The sequence below is a fragment of the Homo sapiens genome, chromosome 2 (genome assembly GCF_000001405.40).
Source record: "Homo sapiens chromosome 2, GRCh38.p14 Primary Assembly".
Lineage (NCBI taxonomy): Eukaryota > Metazoa > Chordata > Mammalia > Primates > Hominidae > Homo > Homo sapiens.
The window spans coordinates 177,248,241-177,267,827 of record NC_000002.12 but is presented as its reverse complement, the minus strand read 5'-3'; the positions used below and the strand labels follow the sequence as shown (position 1 = coordinate 177,267,827).

Genomic DNA, 19,587 nt, shown 5'->3' with positions numbered 1-19,587 from the left:
TGTCACTTCTGGCCTCTTTCCATACCTTAAAGCAAGTTGCAGGGCCAGCCATGCTTGTTTCAATATGAGGGGACTAGACAAATGCCTCAATATCAGGAGAGGTGGTTTACTGGGTGCCATCTTTGGAAGCTTTCTATACTTTACACTGGACAAAGTAGAATTTCAACTACAATTCTAAAAGATTATGAATATTTTCTGGCTCAAACATGGAGAACAATTGAGAGGAAGTGACAGAGAGAGGAAGAAGCCTCAAAGTGATGGAGGATTTTGAAACAATCGGTACTTTCTTGCACCTTGCAACTTGGCAGATTGGAGCACAAAGGAGGTGGAACTAAGGGGTCAATGCATCACCATTATCCAGACTTCTTATACCCAGAAGACTTACTTGATGATACTTTTTTTTTAGACAGAGTCTCACTCTGTCGCCAGGCTGGAGTGCAGTGGCGTGATCTCGGCTCACTGCAACCTCCGCCTCCTGGGTTCAAGCAATTCTCCTGCCTCAGCCTCCCTGAGTAGCTGGGACTACAGGCGCATGCCACCACAACCAGCTAATTTTTGTATTTTTTAGTAGAGACAGGGTTTCACCACGTTGGCCAGGATGGTTTTGATCTCTTGACCTCGTGATCCGCCAGCCTCGGCCTCCCAAAGTGCTGGGATTATAGGCGTTAGCCAGAGCACCTGGCCAATGATGCTTATTTTTTATGAGCAATCTGGAGCAAGGTATCACAATTGACACATCTCAAGCATGTAGGGAAGGCCGTCTTCCCAAAGACAGCAAATGATTCAGGAATCAATGAAAAGGTACAAGAGTCAATAGAACATAAAACCAATTGGAGGGTATTTTTCCCAAATAGTAGCGAGGAGAGCCTGGCAGCAAAAAAGGATCCCATGGCAGCAAGACAGGAGAGAAAAACCAGCACCTCCTCTTTCTTGTTCTTTCTTGCTCCTCCAGAGCTTCTCAACATGCATTATCTGTGCCCTCCTAACACAATAGGCAGGTTTGGAGGGCAAAGCAAGGGCTCAGGCTCTCATATGAAGACAATCACATTCCAGAGTCTGCCAAGATTGGGCACCTCCTTGACGTGGGTGGTCTTGAGAATGGGGTTCCCTTTATTTGGCTAAACCAAATGCCAAACAGCTTTTCCTTAGTGTTTGTTTTTCTTAAACAAGTTCAAACTCTTATCATATTGCTCCCCTCCCTTTGAAAATATGTACTCTGCAGATGCCTGAAATAACACACTCTCAGCAAATTGCAGCATTGGAAAAGTGAAGGTTATTTCATTCAGTCTAAACTCAATGGAAATTTTGTGGCTTAACAAGGAAATACCAAATACTTTATAAACTCCTTTAGAGCAGTAACCATGTCATATGACTCTGGTATCTCCTACCTACTAGGCTCATTGTCTACCTTCTCTGATGTCGTAATTTTAATAAGTAACTTGAATTGTTAACAATTTACTCTTGTCTTTTTCTTGGACTCAGAAATGTTATTTTATTATTATGTCTCTGCATCTTTCATGTGAGGTCCTTTGCAAACAGTTTTCTCCTAACTTGTTTTCATTGTGCAGATCATGTTGCAGGGTTTTCACATAACAGCTGAAAGGAATTAATAGGAGTTAAAGAAGCTTGCTTCAATTACAAGTAATTAATTTAGGCTTCACTTATCTCAAGGAATATCTGAATATACAAATTTACACATAAATCCTGGGAGTGTCAAATTATGCAACCTAGAGAAAGTAAGCTCTGCAGCTTTTTGGGCGTTGATTGCTATAGTCAGGGGTGTGTGTGTGGTTTTTGAATGAAATAGCAAAACCACTGCCAGTATTATCTACTTCACCTGGTTTTGAATAATTCCAGGAAGCTAGAAACTGAAAACCAGTCTTGTATAGAGTTAGAAAGATTGTAAATGCAGAAGAGGAAGAAAAAAACAAAACTAAACCATTTATCTATCCTCTTTGAACCCTTATAAGAGTTCACAATATTCCTCGTTTCAAATACTTGAAGTCTTCTCTGGGCAATGATTAATTTTTAAATAATTGTTTTTAATGTAAGACATAAAACATACGCACTGCAGATTTAAAGCATACTTGGAAGTAACAAGGAGAAACATAAAAATCGTTGATTCCACAGCATTTAATATATTGGTAACCTTCAATTTTTTTCTAGGCACGTTTTTATAAAATGAGCCAATACTATACAAACGTTTTTGTAACTTTTTTTAATTTGTACTATTTTGTGAGTACGTGAAAAAGAAATTTGTAAAGAGTAAACGATTACAGCATGTTGTGGTATTACACACTGTTGAAGGGCGCCATCTGTGGCGTGGTGGCTGCGCTTTGGTGGGAAGAGGTTCTCTTGGGGTTCCCGTTTTTCTCCCAGCTCTGGGTGGGCAATACTGACCACTCTCCGACCTAAAGGGGCTTCTCCGTTTGCCTTTGACGACCTGAGCTTAGGAGAATGGAGACACGTGGGAGTTCAGAGGAGGGCGTTCAGGGTGACTGCGAACACGAGCTGCCGGAGCTGTCCACATCTCCCCTAGGCAGGGCCCACTGGCCCCAGCCCGGGAAGGGAGCAAGGGCGGGAGGGCAGTTGGCAGTGGCACGGTCTGGGTCCAAATCTTTAGCCCCCCCCACCCCGGCTGGCGCCATTCTCGGGCGGTAAAGTGAGATAAAAGCAGGGCAAGGTTCTGCAACTCCAAATCAGGGAGGCGCAGCTCCTACACCAACGCCTTTCCGGGGCTCCGGGTGTGTTTGTTCCAACTGTTTAAACTGTTTCAAAGCGTCCGAACTCCAGCGACCTTCGCAAACAACTCTTTATCTCGCGGGCGAGAGCGCTGCCCTTATTTGCGGGGGAGGGCAAACTGAACGCCGGCACCGGGGAGCTAACGGAGACCTCCTCTAGGTCCCCCGCCTGCTGGGACCCCAGCTGGCAGTCCCTTCCCGCCCCCGGACCGCGAGCTTCTTGCGTCAGCCCCGGCGCGGGTGGGGGATTTTCGGAAGCTCAGCCCGCGCGGCCGGCGGGGGAAGGAAGGGCCCGGACTCTTGCCCCGCCCTTGTGGGGCGGGAGGCGGAGCGGGGCAGGGGCCCGCCGGCGTGTAGCCGATTACCGAGTGCCGGGGAGCCCGGAGGAGCCGCCGACGCAGCCGCCACCGCCGCCGCCGCCGCCACCAGAGCCGCCCTGTCCGCGCCGCGCCTCGGCAGCCGGAACAGGGCCGCCGTCGGGGAGCCCCAACACACGGTCCACAGCTCATCATGATGGACTTGGAGCTGCCGCCGCCGGGACTCCCGTCCCAGCAGGTGCTGCCTCGGCCCTCTGGGCCCTGCGGTGGTGCCGGGACGGGGGCGGGGGAGCTAGGGAACCGCGGCCCGGGAGGGACAGCCGCAACCGGCTTCCCCCACGTCTGGCCAGAGCCAGGACCGCGGCGCTGGGTAGAGCCGCCGCGCTTGCGCCGGGGCAGGGCGGGGAGGGGCAGCGGGGACGCGGCCGGGTGATCCGACCGACCACGAGCCCGAGGGCGAACGGGTGGGAAGTTGCGGGAAGGTCTGGGGACTGAGCCCGCTCGCGTGGGCCTTGGGGGAGAATCCAGCCGCGTCCCCGGGCCCGAGAGCTGGGACTCCGGAGCCCCTAAGTTTGAGCGGCCCGGTGGGCGGCGGGGCAAGAGGGGGCGGACGCTGGCCGTCTGAGCCGGCGCGGCCCGGCCCTTCCGGGGCTGCGCGGCTCCCCCGCCTCGGTGCCGGCAAAAATGTGCCTAGTCACGGGGCCGCTCTCGGGGGAACTGAGGTCGCCTTCGGGCTGGGACCCGGAGCCCCTTCGCCGCGCCCCAAGACCTCCTTGAGTGCGGGCTGCGACGCGCTCACCCCGCTGGGCCGTCTGTGGGCGCGGCTTTGCGAAGTCATCCATCTCTCGGATCACTCTCTGGCAGCCTTGAGCTCTCTTGAAAGCCCAGCCCCGGGACGAGGGAGGAGCGCCTTAAGTGCCCAGCGGGCTCAGAAGCCCCGACGTGTGGCGGCTGAGCCGGGCCCCGCGCACTTTCTCGGCCGGGGAGGGGTTCGGGCTCGGGCACCCGGAGTTGGCCCCTCGTAACGCCGCGGGAAAGTGCGGGCGAGGGCAGTGGACTCTGAGGCCGGAGTCGGCGGCACCCGGGGCTTCTAGTTCGGACGCGGTGCCCCCTGGTGGCGCTCACCGCGCGCGTGGCCTTGGCTTCCGTGACAGCGCTCGGTTGGCCGTCACAGCAGCCCTCGGTTGGCCCTTTCCTGCTTTATAGCGTGCAAACCTCGCCGCGCCAGGGCCAAGGGACAGGTTGGAGCTGTTGATCTGTTGCGCAATTGCTATTTTCCCCAGAGCGGCTTTGTCTTTGGATTTAGCGTTTCAGAATTGCAATTCCAAAATGTGTAAGACGGGATATTCTCTTCTGTGCTGTCAAGGGTAAGAGTTGCGAGTGTAGATTAGAATTTCTGTTGCTTTTAGTCTGTTAGTAATTTTTTGCTTTCAGCTATTATTTCTCCCCTGAGTACTTTATATATGTTTCCTTTTCAGTTGAGAATTTGCCTCAATTTCTTAACATGTTCCCCCTCTTCTGCAGGGGCAGAGAGTGGAACGCTTGCGTTTCAAAACACTTGCTAATTTCTGTGAATTGTTATAAAAGTGAAAAGAAGTTTCTGCTCATCCTTTGTAGAAACTTTAAAAGTAGATATTTATATTTCTAACTTCTTTTGTAAATGAATTTTAGGAAAAAAATTGGAATTCAAGGAAATGTGTACTTGATGTACAGTAAATACGTTTATGCTGTTAAATGTAAAGTTTTCGGTTAATTCCAAAGATCTATTGTAAAGTTTTAAGTTATGGACAATGTATTAATTGTGCTTTTTTCCCCCTTTAAAGTTGTTTGTCTTGAACTTTTCCCCAGTCTTCATTGGGATTGTATTCTTCTGGTTCCAACTAGTGAAGAATTAAATTGTACCTTCCGATTTATTTAATAGCTGCTGTTCAAGAGTTATCTATAGGAATGCTTGTTTGACTGAAGGATATATGATAAAAATGAACTTTAGTTTTTCTGATTTCCGGAATTGTCTACAGCCCTCTATTATTTTTGAATTTTTCTTTCTTTGCTGTGTAATATAACATTCCTTATACAAAAATGCGTGAAACATATGTACCGCATTAAGTGTGTATTTTCCAATTACGTTTGATAAAAATAACTGCTTTTCTACCTTTGTAATCAGACATCGATTTGCATATTTGAAAACAGAAAAAGAACAAGAAAATTTAGAATTGATTTTGTTTATGATTCATATTAGATTGTTGTCATCCATAAAGATTTGAACAGAGTCAAACATTTTCTTGACCTTTTGTCAAAAAAAACTCTCCAGGTGTGAAGTGGTAGTAGGATATAGTTTTTCACCTTCTGTGCAGAGGATGTGTTGATAAACAGGGCAGTAAGGAGAGCCTTAGATTCAGTATCTCCATTAGGTGGAAGGAACCATCCATTACTCTTTTCAAGGGTGTCTTGGAGAGATAAAGCACTTTCCTAGATGAGGGATGAAGTTGATATTGAAATAGACCGATGAGATTATTTTTAAGTCAAACAAAAGAAAAATAGGACAGGCCTCTCATCTCCTGAATGAATGTTAAGCAAAGAACAACTTGACTTTTTAGATATGTGAAAAATCTCTTGAGAGGTTGTGGAAGCAGCATGTAGGAGGATAAATGCATAACTCACATCAGTCTTTTACGCATTAAAAATAACTTGGGCCATTTTGAAATCTTTCTTTCTTGCCCTGGGTTCTTATAAGCAATGTTGGGGGGAAAACTGACTCTGTCTTTAGGATTACCAGGAAAAGTTGAAAGCCAAATGCATCATTTTTCTTAATATTTGTTTTTATTGAGGATAAATCATGTTTAACAAAGCTGCATGAAAAAAAGGAACCCAACAAGTACATTTTTTTTTCTGGGAATTTCCTCTGTCCTGACTGAAGACATTTAAAGGGGGTTTTGTGTCAATATTTCCTCCTTAACTGTTCCTCAAGCCTGGGTTAACTTTTCAGTATGCAGGAAGAATTTGGCACTAAGATAATAATAGATAAGTTACTGGGCACGTCCCTGGGTGCCAGACATAATTGCTTCACATGCATAATTTTACAGTAACCTCACGGGAAATATTATTATCCCTGGTTTCCAGGTTGGGAAAACCAGGCATAATAGTTAGATCAGGCATTAGGTTAGGAAAGGTTAGGAGAGAGGCATAGAGAAAGGCCAGGACCTGCTAAGGTGACCATACTATTGAGTGGCCAAGGTAGCATTCAAACAGGTTTGACTCCTGGGGGCTTCTAATCACCACTTCCAGACTGTACCAAAACTCCTTAAACTCTAAATAGGAAGAAAAGCTCACACTTTAAAAAGTGGGTAAGTTGAGATTTGCCTATTCTGGGGGAAGGAGAGGCCGGAATATAAAAGATTAATGTCTGCAGCTTTTCCATTTAGCAAGACATTTAATCACTGTATGTGACGTGGGGAGGTGGACCTTGTTAAATACAGGGAGAGTGAATACAATCCATCAATGGTACCCACTGTGGTCCTTTTAAGGAAGACACAGAGGCCTCGGTGGATTCAATTTAGAAAGGCAGGACTGTTTTTTGTTTTTTGTTTTTTTTTTTTTTTGAGATGAAGTCTTGTTCTGTTGCCCAGGCTGGAATGCAGTGGCCTGATCTTGGCTCACTGCAGCCTCTACTTCCCGGGTTCAAGTGATTCTCCTGCTTCAGCCTCCCGAGTAGCTGGGATTATAGGCACCCACTGCCCGGCTAATTTTTGTATTTTTAGTAGAGATGGGGTTTTACCATGTTGGCCAGGCTGGGCTGGTCTCGAACTCCTGACCTCAGGTGATCCACCCGCCTCGGCCTCCCAAAGTGTTGGGATTACAGGTGTGAGCCACTGCGCCAGTCTGTTTCTTAATATAATAATAGTTTTAAAAATTTCTGATGTTTGGCAATGTCCAAGATTCTGCCTCACATTTTTCAGAAACTGCCTTTTTTCTTAATTAAATCTCTTAGCTACTGGAGTCTTTGCCTTTGTTTGCCTTGCTACTTGGTACATTTCTTCTGTTCCATTGGCTCTTTTTGTTTTGAAGTAGTGCTCAAAAATAAGTTTGGTAGTAAGAATATGGTGAAGAGTGTGACAGACAGGGTTAAACCAGGCTGAAGGAAAGAGAGCAGAATGGGGAAAATTTGAGTTGAAAACAGCTAGCAGAAAGCTGATGGCGCAAATTCAACCCTAATCTCATGTTTTGGCACTTCTGAACTATAGCAAGCATAAGGGCTCAACTCTTATCTAGTTGAAGCTTACTTGGGTCTTTGAGAATAGTACATCTCAAAATTAAACACTTTCTTAGTCCTTATTGTTAAGTTGTTTTTGGAATTATTGTCTTATTTGTCTGAATTAAGTGTGCTGCAGGACTTATAGGATCTGATGGATGATTTGCCTAAAAGTTGGTCCAGGTCAACCTCAGGGCATTTAAATGCTTGGTCCAGCCACTTTCTGAAAGTTGACTGAAATATGTTGCACAGCAGGGTAGAGGAGGACAAGTTTACTAGATGTCATTTTTAACCTGCTTGTCTTCATCTCTGACTGTAGAAATGTATATTCATTATAAGTTTGCCACAAATAGAGAATAGAGTTTATTCTTTGATCATCTAATTTCTAGGAGCTATTGAAATTTCACTGCTACCTGCTTTTAAATAAGCGCCAACAAACATTTATTAAAAGGGCTTTAAGGTATAGGCCAAGATTTATTCAATTGCTAATGGTATGTTTTCTGTAAATGAAAGCAAAAATATGTTCAAGTGTATAATATTAAATATTAACATTCAGAAACTTGGAGAAATACAGATGGCTTTTTTTTTTGAGACGCAGTCTTGCTCTGTCGCCCAGGCTGGAGTGCAGTGGCATGATCTCCGCTCACTGCAAGCTCCACCTCCCGGGTTCACGCCATTCTCCTGCCCCAGCCTCCCGAGTAGCTGGTACTACAGGCACCCGCCACCACGCCTGGCTAATTTTTTGTATTTTTAGTAGAGATGGGGTTTCACTGTGTTAGCCAGGATGATCTCGATCTCCTGACCTCATGATCCGCCTGCCTCAGCCTCCCAAAGTGCTGGGATTACAAGCTTAAGCCACCGCGCCTGGCCTAGATGGATTTCTTGTACCAGACTATACCCTAGACATGAAAACAAGACTGTTAAACAAAATCCTGTGCTACCTAAAGTTTGAGCCTTCTGTGTGTCAGTTTCTGCCATAATAAATAACTCTTAACTATGATTATTAAGTATATTAAGAACTTTGAGTAGGGGAGGCACGTTTAATCATTCGTTTTTACGGCATATGTACTATAATACCTGTGTGTTGCAAATCCTGGTATTTAAAAGTCTTTTTGTGTATTTGAGCATGTAAGTTTATTTGGTCCAAACTGCTGGTACTAGTAAAGACAAGTCCAGGGCATAAGTAGGACTTACAGCACCAAGTTCGTCTTTTTTTTTTGAGACAGAGTCTCAGTCGGTCACCCAGGCTGGAGTGCATTGGTACAGTCTGGGCTCACTGCACCCTCCACCTCCCGAGTTCAAGCGATTCTCCTGCCTCAGCCTCCCAAGTAGCTGGGATTACAAGTGTGTGCCGCCACGCCCGGTTAATTTTTGTATTTTTAGTAGAGATGGAGTTTCACTATGTTGGCCAGGCTGATCCCGACCTCAGGTGATGTGCCCACCTTGGTCTCCGAAAGTGCTGGGATTATAGGCGTGAGCCACTGCGCCTGACCTCCAAGTCCATCTTTCAAAGGCTCTGTTGATAATTGACTCTTGAGAGTCATTACAGTCCATCAACAGCCTGTATTCTGAATATTTGTTTTTAATTCTAAGACAATGCTAAATAGCCATTCCAAATAAGGTGAGAACTGAGACTTTAGGGCCTGTATTATCAGCTGTACACTGACAAGCTCTGAACTCTATTGCTTTTTCAAATCAGAGAAGAAAAATGAGTAAGAAAAGAAAAATATGGATCACTTAGGCTTTGATGCCTCCTCTGAGTTTATAGTGTTTACCTTCTGTATTACTTAGGTGATCCTCTCTAATGGCATTTTAAATCTCTGTTGATACTTGTCTTACTTATGTATCTGTTTTTTTTTCCTCTATAGTAGATAGAATTTATAGATATATATGTATTTTAAAGTAAGATACAATTTACGTACCTTACAATTTACCCATTTAATCTAATTCAGGGTTATGCAACCCTATGAATTTAGTAGTTTATTCATAGAGTTATGCAACCATCACTGTAATCAATTTTCAACACCCTCAAAAGAAACCCCATATCCATTAGCAGTCACTTCCCATTTCCCCTCAACTCTCCTGGCCCCTGGTAACTACTCAGTTATTTTCTGTACCTATGGATTTGCCTATTCTGGACATATCATGTAAATGGAATAGCATGTAAATGGAATCATACAGTATTTATCCTTCTGTTGCTGGCTTCTTTCACAGCAATATGTTTTCAAGGTTTAAAAATGTTGCAACGTATATCAATAGCGTCATTCCTTTTTATGGCTGCATACTATTCCATTGTATGGCTATACCACATTTTATTTATCCAGTTGATGATCATTTGAGTTGTTTCCACTTTTTATGTTTCTGTTTGTTTCTTACAGCAGTGGTTCTCAAACTGTTGTATATTAGACTCACCATCAGTATTTAAAAAACTAATGCCCAGGCCATATCCCTCATGAAATCAAAATCTCTGGGGGTGGGGCCCAGGCATCACTATTTTTTAAAGATTCTGAGGGGATTCTAACGAGCAGTCAGGTTTGAGAGCCAGTGCCCTAGGGCAGCAGTCCACAACCTTTTTAGCACCAGGGACTAGTTTTGTGGAAGACAGTTTTTCCATAGAAGGAGGTAGAGGATGGTTTCAGGATGAAACTGTTCCACCTCAGATCATCAGGCATTAGATTGTCCTAAGGAGCTGGCAACCTACATCCCTTGCATACTCAGTTTACAACAGGGTTCCGGCTTCTCTGATAAACTAATGCTGCTGCTAATCTGACAGGAGGTGGAGCTCAGGCGGGAATGCTCGCCTACTGCTCACCTCCTGCTGTGCGGCCTGGTTCCTAATGGGCCACTGACCCCTCCGCAGCCAGCAGGTGGGGACCCCTGCCCTAGGGGACCCACCTCAGTGCTTGGTATCCATTGAAGTATATAGTGATTTAGAAAATCTGGTTAGGATGTCTTATTTAAATCATGAAAGCAAGTGCTTTTGTCTTTGATCATTGCCCTTCACAGCCTTACAGTTAACACCTACATTCAGGAACTGTGTTTCAAAGTGCCTGGCGAGTGTTTGAAACTCACTAAATATATATAACCTGGGCTCATTAAACCCCTCCAGAAGATTTGGGTAACTTTGTTATGAAAGGGCTTCCCTGAAGTGGGTCAGCAGGATTGCTCTGTGTTTTTTCAGGAATGTGGCCTGTGATAACTTGCAATCTAGATTATTTGGAAATAGCACTGAGAGAAGCCAGTGAGGACAGAATGCTCAGAAGCTTGGGATAGGTGTTGAACATCCTGGAGGCCAGGACGGAACACTGTCTTACTCTAGGAAGCTGTGTTCCTGGGCCTCATTATCTTCCTCCGTTAAAAACAAAAGACTTAAATCTCCACAGCAGCTTTCAGCAACTTCATTTTTTGGTTCTCTGTATCTGCCTGATAAAGTCCCACTTTGTAGTGGCTCCCACTTATATTTACCTGAATGGCTTTTGGGTTGACATATTTGGAAACTGGGGCTAACTTCCAAACTGTTGGCAACTTGTGTGTGGGTGTGCGTGCCACAGCACAGCAGTCCCACTTGAGAGACTTGATGGTGTGGTGGTGGTTGGGGGGCTTCTGAAGCTGGCTTAGCCCCAGCCCTATACACCCACCCCACAGATGGTGGGAACAAGCCCAGAAGAGAGTGGGTAACTCTGTCCACTGTGGCCTCCACAGCCAAGGTTGCCAGGCAGAGCTCGCAAGGCCCAATTCCAGTCTTGTCTTTGACCGTTGCCCCTTTGTGTTGGGGGGGTGTATTTAGTCACCTTTCTGGAAGCATGCTTTTCTAATTCTAGTCATCAGTAGTTTGTTGCTTTAAGATTTTGAAAATGGTATCCTGTTATTTTACTTAGGAGTTTCGTATTGAATGGTGTACATAATGTGATTCAAGTACCTCAAAACAGAAGGACTTCAGTTAAGATTTAGGCTCTATGCAACATACACTTCTTGCATTTTCTCATTCAATGTCCTTTCCTTTTTTTTTTTTTTTTTTTTTGCAAGAATGTAGCTGACATTCAGAGTAGATTAGTACCTTCAATGTCTGTGTGAAAGAAATGACCTTAATATGAGGACAATATTGACTGTGTATTTAGGGGGCCCACTGTTAAGGCATATAGAATTTTGCTTTATTTCAGACCTGACAATCTCTTGTCTGCTCTGCTTCCGCATAAAATTATAATACTGCACATGGATGTAAAACCCAACCTATTCCCTGCCTGAGGGACTAGAATAGAGGGAAGAATGACTATAGTTCTTTGTTGCCTTTTGTGAAGGTAACAGGCACAGAGGTATGATGCATGATGGAATTATATACCTCTTCTTGAGGTGTTTGAGGGCTGACTAAGGACCTGTACTTTTTTTTTGGTTTGTTTTGCAGTACTGGGGCCAGGGAGCCTTGCTGTTGTGTCTAGAGAGTGTTGAAGAACCATGAATATTTCGCAAAAAGAAAATAATTTTTTTAACCATTAAAATTCCTGGTAGTGACTTCCTCTGGCAAGTAAAAAACTCTCATTTTCCTTAAAAAATGAGAGTTTTTTACTTGCAATAGGAAAACTTGCCAATTTTTCAAGTTATTTTTATTCTTGATGATTCTCAATGAGACATAATTAAAATACACATAGAAAAAACAACCGTAGGCCAGGTGCAGTGGCTCACACCAGTAATCCCAACACTTTGGGAAGTCAAGGTGGGAGGATCACTAGAGACCAGGAGTTTGAGATGAGCCTGGGCAACATATTGAGACACTGTCTCCTCAAAAAATTAAAAAAATTAGCTGGATCCAGTGGTGCACACCTGCAATTGTAGCTATTTGGGAGGCTAAGGTGGAAGAATAGCTTGAGCCCAGGAGTTTGAAGGTGCAGTGAGCCATAATCATGCCACTGTACTCCAGCCCAGGCAACAGAGTAAGATCATGTCTCAATGAAAAAAAGAAAAATCAACCCTAGTGGACTGGAACAGGGCTGGTTTACTTTGTGTCAGCTGCAGTGCCCCCACTCGCCAACCCACATGTTCTTCTCCTGCTGGTTCCCAAGCAGAGACCAGAACCAAGAATGAGAATCATCCTGTGGGTGCAGGTTGTATCTTATCCTCCAGAGACAGCACTTCACCCTCTGTTAGAAACTTCTTTACCACACTGCCTGTTTGGTGAAATCCTTAGGGCAGTGACTTCCAAACTGTGATCCAGGGGCCACCCTTGGTGGGAGGATCAGGAAGGAGGGGGAATGTATCTTAAGAAAAGTTGGGGGAAGCTCATATCTCTTCTCGTTGATCCTGAGAAGTAAAGTCTTTCCTCCTCAGAGAGATGCGGGTAGACATGACTCGCCTAGATAGAAGCTCATTCATCTCCCTCCCTTCTGCCTCTGCAGGACTCTTGGAAGTCTGGGTCCCCGGGAGTATGCGGCTCTTGCTCTGTGCTACAGGTTTCCAAAGTTCACTTGATAACAGTACAATTGTGCTGTAAATTGTGCAGTAATGGAGACTGAGGAAACAATTAGTCTTTCATCTTCATTCATGTTACCAGCTCACTTCCTATGGTGTGAAAAGAGCCAGACTTTGGAGTTAGGAGACATCTGAATACAGACAGAACTGGCAAGATTATGGGGAAGAAAAGGGAAAAGTAATGAATATTTTCAAAGAGGTTAAGCCATTTGGCCAGGACAACACTGCTTGCAGGTAGCAGAACTGGGATTTTGACTGTCCATAATCCCTATTCTCTGCTTGTTTTACTCCTTCCCTCTCTTCTTTCTTTTTTCATTGTCTAATGACCTACAGACATTCTGTCAGCTGCTAAAGAATGAGGGACTCCTTTATAAAGATTGATAGGACAGTGTCGCTACTTAAGGAGTTCCTTCCATGTGGACCAGTGGGGGCGCTGTTGACGCATGGGGCTGGACTTCTCTTTGGAGCAGAGTCCTGTTCCACGGATCGCTGTGACAAGCAGAAAGTGCCCCACCCCACCTCCATACAATTCCTAATGCTCCTGGGTGATACAACCGCCCCAGTGGAAGCACGGTGGTGCATGGACTTCTAGAGACCATTTGAAGCCAGGACATTGCTGCTTGTTCTTAGGAAATGGCAGAATATTACTTTCTTGTTTTTTGTAGGGAAGCCTGCCATCTCACCAGGTGGCAGCTTGTTTATACCTTTTATCCTAACCTGAAGCAGGTGATGGGACAGAGGTCATCGAATATAATGAAAGTGCCACAAAGGTAGAGTCTGGGTATATTTTATTTATGCAGGTAGAGTGACTTGTCCAGATCCCTTCACACAGAGCAACATTTAATATGGTAATTGTTACTGCTGAAGTTGGCCATTTCTCGGACCTACAGCTGCAAGGAATTGGTAACAAAAGGATAAACTAAACATTGTTACTATTTTAATTTTCAAGGAGATGAAGTTAAAATCATATATGTCATATCTCTCTGGGGCTTAGCCACCTTTTCTGCTGGGCACTTTTTGAAGAAGTCTGAATACTGAGATAGGAGAGTAAAGGGGGGAAAGTAAGTTTGCCCACTTCTCATCCTTTTTCTGACCATCAGCCTGAGGGAAGTAACTAGAATCCGCTAAGAAAATTCACTTAATCAGCAGTTGATTGATTGTTATATTGTCCACATTGCAAAATTCTTTAAAGGATATTTGAAGATATTATCACATTTGTTCTCTTACAATCTATTGTATTGTTTATTTGAAGGGGTGAGTGTTAATAGTTCTTAAGATATCGTACTTTATTTCCGGTAGCATATCCAAGAAATAATTTAGAAGTATTGTTAATGGGAATGATGTTAAATAATTTTTCTATGACTAGTAGTTGGGACATATATGATATAAAACATGGTATCTTTGTTACTTAAGTAATTTGAACTCTAACCCCATATATCTTAGGTAGACAATGAAAATACTGAATTGTTAGTCTAAATAATATACACGTACTCATTCCGCAAATATTTATTAGGTATCTACACACCCTAGGAATCTTTCAGGGCATGAAGCTGTTTTAATCTTCCAAGATAATGCAGCACGTATCCCCCTTGAGGGACATTTGTTTTTCAAATTGCTCCTCTGTGTCTCCTCTGCTTAGGATATGAGTTCCTCTAAGACTGTATTTTAATCTTTTGTGTAATTCTGATGTCTAGCGCCATGCCTGGTGCTTACGTAATAGTTGCTCAGTCAGTTTGAGGGTGAGTCCATTAACTGCCCTCTAGGAGCTTGATATTTAATATAAACTAGTCTGTGATACATGACAATGCTGTGACAGTGCAGATGAGAAAATGTGACTTCTAACTGGGGTGCTCAGAGAGGATATCCTGGAGGAACTGCCATTTTAACTAGACTTTTCTTTTAAGCAGGTAGATTTTGTTTGGTTCAGGCTTCAGCTGGAAGCCCAAGCAATGGTGCAGATATGAGCTGGACTATGACAGACTATTGGGCCAGTGGGGCTGACAAGGTTAACTTGGGGGTTGCCATAGAGGGCCTTCAGTGCTCATGTGCACTGTTTCAAGTTTGTACAGGGCATCTGGAAACCATGGAAGAAGATTCTGGAAAGGGCAGGGCAGGTAAACTGGATGTGGATAGGAAGTTACTGTGGCAGGTGAATTGGAAGATGGACAGGTTGGAGGCAGGGAGATGGTGAGCGGGCTCCTGCCAAGGTGTAGGTCTGAGCATTGTTGTGACGGCTTAGTTGGTTTGACATCAGCACACAGATTGAGGATCTGTCATTGTAACTCTAAATTGTATCCTTGTTAGACATGTAAAAATAACTTTTTAGAGCCTCCGTTTTTAAGGAGGGAAGTGGATTGTGCTCAAGCTTGCATGCTCCGCTGTTCCTGTGCTTTAAAAATACTCATCCACCAGTGTGGTCACTGATGAAAGGGGAGGAAAAACTAGCCAGAAGTTGCCATTTTGCTTAAAGAATGGATTCATTTCTTCCTCAAGGTGGCACAGAGAGAGTTTCTCTCTTTTTGCCCCTCTCTTAGATTGATTTACTATTTTTAGTAAATTCTAACAGTCTGATCCTTGCTTCCAATTACAATGATTAGCAATATTTGCCCAAGACAAGAAAAAACAATTTCCTCTCTTTTCTCTCCTATGAGCTTTTCCTGTGAGCCCCAAGCAGACAGATGTGGACATCTAGCAATGCTGTTAACAACAGCTGCAGTCCGTTGGACTCTCTGCAACACTGGGCACGGTACAAAGTGCTCTGACAAACTCTTCTGCCCTTTGCAATCCTTACTACGCCCTGTGAGGTGAGGAGTATTCTTCCTGTTTTGTAGGTGAAGAACTGAGGCAAAGAGAGGTTATGTCATTAGATTTCACAATAGGGTGTGTTTCCGTTTCATCATCTTTAGATTGATGTTACTGTGACATCATCTTCCTAGAATTAACAAAGTGAACTGGGCACAGGAAATAGCACATGGCACACCTTCAGCAAATGGTGGTTGTGATCATTTTCATCATTCCATTTCTTCTTGAAAAAAATCCCTTTTTTTTTTTTTTTTTGAGACAGAGTCTCACTCTGTCGCCCAGGCTGGACTGGTGTGATCTCGGCTCACTGCAAGCTCCGCCTCCCGGGTTCACGCCATTCTTCTGCCTCAGCCTCCTGAGTAGCTGGGACTACAGGCACGGGCCACCACGCCTGGCTAATTTTTTTGTATTTTTAGTAGAGACGGAGTTTCACCGTGTTAGCCAGGATGGTCTCGAACTCCTGACCTCGTGATCCGCCCACCTCGGCCTCCCAAAGTGCTGGGATTACAGGCATGAGCCACCACGCCTGGCAAAAATCCCTCGAGTTCCAGTGTAAACACTCACGCCCTTTTTTGCTGTTTGCTATAAACCTCTCATTCTCCTTGGTCTTCTTGTCCTTGTGTGAGGTCCTGGTTGTTGTGGAGACTGAGGTCTTCTGAGACAGAAAACCAACCCCATAGCAGGCCTGGTGTGTGCCCTAGAATGGCAGAGGCCCCACACGTTGCCCCGGCTCCTCTGGAAGACCCTCCAGCCTGTCTGCTGGATTCCTTGTACTTATGAGGATTGTTAAACCATCTCATAGGATTCCTTTCCAGACTCAGCCCTTCACTTGTGGCAGCATTTCTTACTCTGAGGTTCTGGGCCTAGAAACCCAGTGTCCATAGGCAAGGTCTAGGGACAGAGAGAGTTTGTAGAAAGTGGGAATGCATCAGTGGAAGGCTAAATCCAAACAGGAACTGAGCTGGCCTGGGTGGCTTTGTCCTTTTGCCATCTTCGTAACCCTTTAAAGGCTTTAAGACACTTCTTTTGTAATAACTACCCCAACTAAATTTGGCCAGAGCTGTGAAGGGAAAGAAAATCTAAGACCCTTGAGGGAGATGACAGCCGAACGTTTTACATTTTTACCACCTTTGTTGTTGCCATGCACAGCTGATACATAAACAAGTAATGGCCTCATCTTCTATTCTTTTATTTACTGGTTAGACCCAGAACCCTAAAAGGTAGATGCTTCTCATGGTCATTTGGCATTTGCAACAGGAGCTGAATTTATTAATAGTACTAATACCTCATCCTTGGACATCCTTGGGTTGTCCGATATTTTTAAGGGGCATTTACATCCTTTGTTTTTCATATGGAAAACTTTTCCGTAAGGGCTGGTATCATCTTGGCCTTCCATTGCAGGAACAGCACAGGGAGGTTCGGTGGCTAGGCCACAGTTACCCACGCAGCTAGGTAGCAGCAGAGGCCCCACCTGGCACCCCCTGGCTTCCTAAGCACATCGCACTGTGCAGCCTCCCTGAGGAAGCCTCGAGTGGATAGGAACTCTGGTTCTTTAAGATAAACCTGAGTTGGATCTCACTGTCACCATTTATCAGATGGGGCGATGTCTTCAGGCAAAAGTACTTAACCTCTCTGTTTTTGTTTCCTTACTCCAAAATGGTAATGATCATACTACTACCCACCTGGGTGGATTGGTGTGCATATGAAGGAGGTCATGGGGACAAGTGGTTGGAAGAGTGTTGAGCACATAGAAAGTACAAGATAAATGGTGGCCATTATGTTACTACTTAGACTATATCATACTTGTCTTTATCTGGGCTTAGAATCTTGACACTGAGATCTTTCATTCTCAGATCTTAATATGAAAGCTTACCAGGTAAACACTACCCCAACATAATTATTTAGTGGGTTCATACATGTGAAAGCAGTTGAAATACAATTTCTGAACTCCGGGTTAATTTATATCCTTAGTTGGAACAGGTAGTACCCTCCCAGCACCTAAGGCCTCTCACTTCTATCCATTCTTCAGATGACCTTTGCAATAATCATGGTAATTGAATAGCATCTGCACCATAACATTGTTGAATAACATCAAAATGATCCATTTAGCCATCATGAGCCTTCCTAGTAATTCAGACTCACACCAGTTCTTTCAGGTTATTGAGTAGCTTTTACAAATAATTGCTAACAGTACAAATACTGTCTCAGGTATTTTGGAAGGGTGAATTTTCCCATTGATTTCAGTGTATCTTTAGGAGGTAATTTGCAAAACCGAAGAGTTTGGTTCCGTCAAAGTCACCCCTAAGGAGTGTGGAGGACCACATTGTAGGTTTATACTGCACTGTCCCTCATGCTTGAAATTTGGCTCATGCAACCAAGGAACTGAATTTTTAATTTCGTTAAATTTTGATTTAAATTTTAAAACAGAAATAGTATAAAATATTTTTCTGTTAAATATACCTTGTAGTGTTGGCAAGACTACATTTCGTGTTACCATGCTGGGTAAGATTTCTTGTAGTGTGTATTGTGTTTTGTCACCTCGTTAATAATTTTCTTATTTTGGTTGCATGTTAAAATAATTTTGGATATATTGGGTTAAATAAATATATTGTTAAAATTAAATTCACTTGTTTATTTTTTTGTTGGTGAGGCTAGGCTACTAAAAAATTTAAAATTACCCATGTGGATTGCATTATATTTCTATTAGTGCTGCTTTAGCTGCAAGTAGCCTATTTAAAAAAAATCATTATTTTCAGACTTATGGACTTCATAGAATCAGAGGTATTTAGAGGAAAGGATCTTGGGGGTCACCTAATCCAGCTCCAACATTTTGCAAGTGATAAGACCAAGGCCAGAGGCTACAATAAAATGACTGACCTCCTCCCAGATGGGGACTGGATCCCAGTGGCTTTATAGCCTTTGCCTTGGATCCTGGTTTTACTTGGAAACATAGCAGACATCAGAGCTGCAGAGAACTTCTACCAGATCCGGAGTGAAGAAAATGCCTTATTTATTTATTTATTTATTTATTTATTTATGGAGACCGGGTATTGCTGTGGCCTAGGCTGTAGTATAGTGGCAGAAACATGGTTCACTGCAGCCTCAACCTCCTGGGCTCCAGGATCCTCATGCCTCAACCTTCTGAGTAGCCGGGGCCACAGGTACGCGCCACCACGCCTGGCTATTTTTTTTTTTCTCTTTTGTAGAGACTGCGTCTTCCATGTTGGCCAGGCTGATATCAAAACTCCTGGGCTCAAGTGGTCCTCCTACCTTGGTCCCCCAAAGTGCTGGGATAACAGGTGTGAGCCATCATGCCTGTTTTGGCAGTTTTTAGGGGCCCACGCTAATTTTGAGCCAGGTTTGCGCTTGATAATGTAATGCTGGAGGCTGGGCAGGGGACATGATCTGCCTGAAAGGGCTGAGAACTGGGAGGCTCTTATTCCTATAGTATTGAGAGCAAAGGCACAGTCTTACAGAACCACACAATATTCAGAGCTTGTGGGTTGGAGAAGGAAAGTCCTCTGAAAAATAAAAAAAAGAGTACAGAGGCCAGAGGCGGTGGCTCATGCCTGTAATGCCAGCACTTTGGGAGGCCCAGGCAGGCGGATCACCTAAGGTGAGGAGATCGAGACCAGCCTGACCAACATGGAGAAACCCTGTCTCTACTAAAAATGCAAAATTGGCCAGGCATGGTGGCGCATGCCTGTAATCCAAGCTACTTGGGAGGCTGAGGCAAGAGAATCGCTTGAACCCGGGAGGCGGCGGTTGCGGTGAGCTGAGATCACGCCATTGCACTCCAGCCTGGGCAACAAGAGTGAAACTCTGTCTCAAAAAAAAAAGAAACAGAGTACAGGTCAGACATTGGGCAATTTTCTCATAACAATTTCATAGGCCATTAATTTGGTTACAGACTTGAATAGCACACAACAGTTCTCTAAGGGTCAGTTTCCAAAGTAATTCCTAATATTTAATGAATTTTTAAGTGATAGAAATTGCAGTAGGAAAGTCTAGCTTG

The 19,587-nt window shown here is 44.2% G+C and overlaps 1 protein-coding gene and 1 non-coding gene across 9 annotated transcripts in view, besides 4 other annotated features; both read left to right on the top strand.

Annotated features, from left to right (window-relative positions):
* Positions 2,958–3,827: a silencer, noted in NCBI's record as "silent region_12145". NCBI's record gives its function as "represses an Ori minimal core promoter by ATAC-STARR-seq in GM12878 lymphoblastoid cells {active_cell/tissue: GM12878}" and the evidence as "EXISTENCE:reporter gene assay evidence [ECO:0000049][PMID:35858748]".
* Positions 3,101–19,587, top strand: part of NFE2L2 (NFE2 like bZIP transcription factor 2) — a 34,425-nt gene continuing 17,938 nt past the window's right edge. For 3 of the 8 annotated variants that reach the window (NM_001313903.2, NM_001313902.2, NM_006164.5), the window contains exon 1: positions 3,101–3,296. In NM_001313903.2, the coding sequence (NP_001300832.1) occupies positions 3,252–3,296 (45 nt within the window). In that variant the 5' untranslated portion in view covers positions 3,101–3,251. Of the gene's footprint in view, positions 3,297–3,696; positions 4,426–19,587 lie in introns of those variants that run through there. The other 5 variants (NM_001313904.1, NM_001145413.3, NM_001145412.3 and 2 more) reach the window with 3 other exon arrangements.
* Positions 3,928–5,127: an enhancer, noted in NCBI's record as "MED14-independent group 3 enhancer chr2:178127429-178128628 (GRCh37/hg19 assembly coordinates)". NCBI's record gives its function as "activates an origin of replication core promoter dependent on BRD2, BRD4, P300/CBP and CDK7 cofactors, and independent of MED14, by STARR-seq in HCT116 cells {active_cell/tissue: HCT116}" and the evidence as "EXISTENCE:reporter gene assay evidence [ECO:0000049][PMID:35650434]".
* Positions 4,088–4,247: a silencer, noted in NCBI's record as "silent region_12144". NCBI's record gives its function as "represses an Ori minimal core promoter by ATAC-STARR-seq in GM12878 lymphoblastoid cells {active_cell/tissue: GM12878}" and the evidence as "EXISTENCE:reporter gene assay evidence [ECO:0000049][PMID:35858748]".
* Positions 10,533–10,827: a silencer, noted in NCBI's record as "tiled region #4724; HepG2 Repressive non-DNase unmatched - State 2:TssF, and K562 Repressive DNase matched - State 5:Enh". NCBI's record gives its function as "represses a minimal TATA promoter and a strong SV40 promoter by Sharpr-MPRA in HepG2 and K562 cells {active_cell/tissue: HepG2 | K562}" and the evidence as "EXISTENCE:reporter gene assay evidence [ECO:0000049][PMID:27701403]".
* On the top strand, positions 11,818–11,883 carry MIR3128 (microRNA 3128). Its single transcript, NR_036075.1, has one exon. It is a non-coding gene; the product is annotated as a microRNA 3128 (primary transcript).